Source organism: Homo sapiens, chromosome 2, assembly GCF_000001405.40.
Source record: "Homo sapiens chromosome 2, GRCh38.p14 Primary Assembly".
Lineage (NCBI taxonomy): Eukaryota > Metazoa > Chordata > Mammalia > Primates > Hominidae > Homo > Homo sapiens.
In genome coordinates this window covers 173,572,283-173,576,605 of record NC_000002.12, presented here as the reverse complement: position 1 = coordinate 173,576,605, position 4,323 = coordinate 173,572,283, and the positions used below count along the sequence as shown (strand labels likewise).

The following is a 4,323-nucleotide window of genomic DNA, read 5'->3' as shown; positions in this document are numbered from 1 at the left end:
TCATCAGCCTCAAGTTTTCAAGCAAAACTCGGGCATGTTGAAGCCTTAGCCCAGGGAAGAGGTGGACACTGGTGGACTCTGCTGCAAGATCCCGTGGCTCAGCTTGTAGGCATGACAGGCTGATCCATGATGAGGTCAATTGAAGATCTGGAACCTTATGGCTTGGGAATTAACAATTATCCTTGCTCAGGCTTGATGCCACGTGCAAGTTGGACAGTCCCGGCCCACTCTGCTCTCTAGTACTTGTGGCCCTTTCCTTTCAAGATGCTTGAGGAAGTGTACCAGGGAAAGGAAGAGGTGGAGACTTTTGCTTTTCAGGCAGAAGTTGCCCAATTCATGTATCTCAACATCAATACCTTCTATTCCAACCAGAAAATTTTTCTTCAGGAGTTGATCTCTAATGGATTTAATGCATTAAACAGAATTTGCTGAGAGCCTGACAGACTCTTCTGAGTTGAACAGCAGTAAAGAGATGAAAATTGACATCATCTTCAACTCTCAGGAATGCACCCTGACTTTGGTGGACACAGGCATTGCCATGACCAAGGATGACCTCATAAATAATTTTGGAACCATTGCCAAGTCTCCAAGATTGAGCAGTTTGGTTTTTAGCCTGCCTACCTGGTGGCACAGAAAGTGACTGTGATCACACATCACAATGCTGATGAACAGTATGCCTGAGAGTCTTCCTCCACTGTATGTGCTGACCACAGTGAGCCCACCAGCAGGGATACCAAAGTGATCCTCCACCTTAAGGAAGACCAGATAGAGTACTTAGAAGAGAGACAAATCAAAGAAGTAGTGAAGAAGTACTCATAGTTCATAAGCTATCCCATCACTCTTTATTTGGGGGAAGGAATGAGAGAAGGAAACCGGTGACAATGAGGCAAAAGAAGAGATAGGTGAGAAAAAAGAGGAAAATAAAGATGCTGAGGAAAGGCTCAAGATTGAAGATGTAGGCTCAGATGATAGCAGTAAGGGTAAGAAAAAGAAGACCAGAAAATTAAAGAGAAATACATTGATTAGGAAGAGCTAAACAAGGCCAAGTTCATCTGGACCAGAAACCCTCATGATGTCACCCAGGAGAAATATGGAGAATTTTACAAGAGTCTCACCAATAACTGGGAAGACCACTTGGCAGTCAAGCATTTCTCTGTAGAAGGTCAGTTGGAATTTAGAGCATTGCTACTCATCCCTCAACGGGCTCCCTTTGACCTCTTTGAGAACAAGAAGAAAAAGAACAACATCAAGCTGTCCATCGTGTGTTCATCATGGACAGCTGTGATGAGTTGACACAAGAGTTTCTCAATTTTATTCATGGTTTGGTTGACTCTCAGTATCTGCCCCTCAACATCTCTCGAGAAATGCTTAAGCAGAGCAAAATCTTAAAAGTCATTCAAACAAACATTGTTAAGAAGTGCCTTGAGCTGTTCTCTGAGCTGGCAGAAGACAAGAAGAACTACAAGAAATTCCATGAGGCAGTCTGTAAAAATCTAGCCCACTGATTTAAATGTTAATCACATCTACAAAATGTCTTCATGCCAACATATAGACTGGTGTTTGGCCAATCTAATATATGGGTACCATGGCCTAGCTAGGTTGACACATAAAGTTTGCCATCACACCAAGTAATCCAGCACTACCATTCAAAAGGGTAGTTTTGCAAGTTAATAAAAAACTCTAGCAGTGTGGAAGCCAATTAGTCAGGAAACAAGCTGAGTCATCTTAGGGTTTCACTGAGAGCCGAAGGGCAAATGGAAATGTATAAAATGGAGGAAATTAAGCCAGAGTACTCAAGATGTTTATAAAGAAATAGAAGAGTGTATAACGGAAATGAAGAGTACTACTGCTGAAAGGAGGATGGAACTGGCAAGGAATATAGAAGGTACCAAAACAAACAAAAACATCCTTCAAACCCAGACCTTAATATTCTGAGCCCCAATGCCTTTGCCCATCTCCTTGGGCCTCTTGCCTCTTGGGGTCCAAGTGTTACAGAAGCTGCTTCAGCAGCAGCAGAGCAAGACCTGGACCCAGCACTGGTGGAGGGGGAGGCCTAAGCCAATTTCCACGACAGGAAGGAATGCTCCAGAGGACAATAAAAGTGAGGTCATCATGTGTCTACGAGTCTCTCCAGAAAAATATCAGATGTGAACTGTAAAACAATCAACATTCAGTTGTATAGGAAAAGTTAAAGCCATACTAGAGCAGGGGCCAAAAGCTTACAGAGAATCTGTGAAAGCCAGTTGCATGTAAGGGAGCCAGCCCTAATGGCATGCAGGTAGAACTCGAGCTTGTGGAATTTTTCTTTTAAACTATGAAGGACAGAGGTTCCTTTTCAGTCGAAAAGTGAACAAATGTTATGCCCATCTTTTAAAAAAATGGGCACTGGCATTGTGGAAAGCATTTGGGAGATTTATCAAAGAGCTTAAAACAGAACTACCATTCTACCCAGCAATCCCATTATTTGGTATATACCCAAAGGAATATAAATCATTCTACCATAAAGACACAGGCATATGAATGTTTATTGCAGCCCTATTCACAATAACAAAGACATGGAATCAACCTGAATGCCTATCAATGGTAGACAGGATAAAGAAAATGTGGTACGTATACAACATGGAATACTACACAGCCGTAAAAAAGAACAAAGTCATGTCCTTTGCAGCAACATGGATGGAGCTGGAGGCCATTATCCTAAGCAAACTAACACAGGAACGGAAAACCAAATACCACATGTTCTCACTAATAAGTGGTAGCTAAACATTGAGGACATATGCACACAAAGAAGAGGATAACAGACACTGGGGCTACTTGAGGGTGAGAGGGTGGGAGAAGGGTGAAGATTGAAAAACTACCTATCATATACTATGTTTATTACCTGGATGATAAAATGATCTATACACCAATCCCCTGTGACACACAACTTACTTATATAACAAGCCTGCACATATACCCCTGAACCTAAAATAAAAGTTTAAAAAAAGAGGGAAGAATGGGAGATAGGGTTGAATTAATATAGTAATTATAGACCAGACAGCATTGAAAACCAGGAAAATTTGATTGAAGCTTTCATTAATCACTGTATCTAAGAGCATAAAACACTAGTGGGTAAACTGTGCTAGTCTGTTTGGACTACTGTAACAAAATGCCATAAACCAGATGGCTTATAAACAGTAGAAACTTATTTCTCACAGTCTGGAGACTGGGAAGTCCAAAAGGCTCCAGAAGATCTGGTGTTTGGGGCCTGCTTCCTGGTTTGCAGATGGCTGTCTTCTCGTGCCATCCTCATATGGGCAGAAAGCAGAGAGAGAGAGTGGAAGCAAGCTCTCTCGTGTCTTCTTATAAGGGCACTAATTCCATTCATAGAGGCTCCAACGTCATGACCTAATTACCTCCCAAAGGCCCCACCTGCTACTACCATCACCTTGGGGATTAGCATTCTAACATATCAATTTTGAGGTGACACAAACACTCAGGCCATAGCACAAACCACAGGGCTTTTTGAAAGTCTTAGGGAAAAGAAAGTTGAAGTGCAACTTCCTTTCCAAATGTGGGCACATACACCATAGCCACACCACCTGTTAGCCCAGAACTGTATTTATGTCATCCTCCAGCCTGAGCCTCCAGGGGGCTAGGACTGCAGGACCCATGCTCTTAGTATGAAATGTGCTATCAGTGTTTTTCTTTCTGCCCACATAGTTACAAACAACTGAATTCAATCCAAAGTGCATTTCTTGAGTGTTTACTAGGTACTGCCTTACCAGGAAGTGACTTAAAGAATATAAAAATGCATAGGACATGGTTTCTGCCCCTCAAGATCACTACATGAAGGAGACCCACATACATATTAATAAATGAAAAAGATTATTTTAATTAAAACAGAAGGGAGAATTCAGACTTAAGCAATAACTCTTGACCATCAGAATGATAACACTGGAATTTCCTCTGAAAGGCGAGCTGAAGAGTTTCCTCCTTTAGACATAAAGTGAGACTGAACAGCCAGCCATCTTTGGTTGGTTAGACACCCACCTGACCCAGAACAGAGCTTGGGGCAGGTAATATTGCCAGGCCCCTCCCACTGTATAATTCTAAGACACTGTCATTTCTAGGTTGCTAAAAATAGAAACATGGCATCTGGTATGTAACAATATACAATATTGCAGCTGTGTCTTTATGATGAATAATAATACTTTGGAGTTATATGATGAGGCAATCACCTTGCAAGTGCAATCTCATTAACCCTCACAATATTCTGATTAGGTAGGCAGGTGGCAAGTGATCTGAACTCAGTTTGCAATTGAAGGAACCAAGACACAGAGA

The 4,323-nt window shown here is 41.8% G+C and overlaps 1 pseudogene, besides 1 other annotated feature; it reads left to right on the top strand.

The window, feature by feature from the left end:
- On the top strand, nucleotides 223-1,495 carry LOC100129456 (heat shock protein 90 alpha family class B member 1 pseudogene; annotated as a pseudogene).
- Nucleotides 3,534-3,593: a silencer, noted in NCBI's record as "silent region_12116". NCBI's record gives its function as "represses an Ori minimal core promoter by ATAC-STARR-seq in GM12878 lymphoblastoid cells {active_cell/tissue: GM12878}" and the evidence as "EXISTENCE:reporter gene assay evidence [ECO:0000049][PMID:35858748]".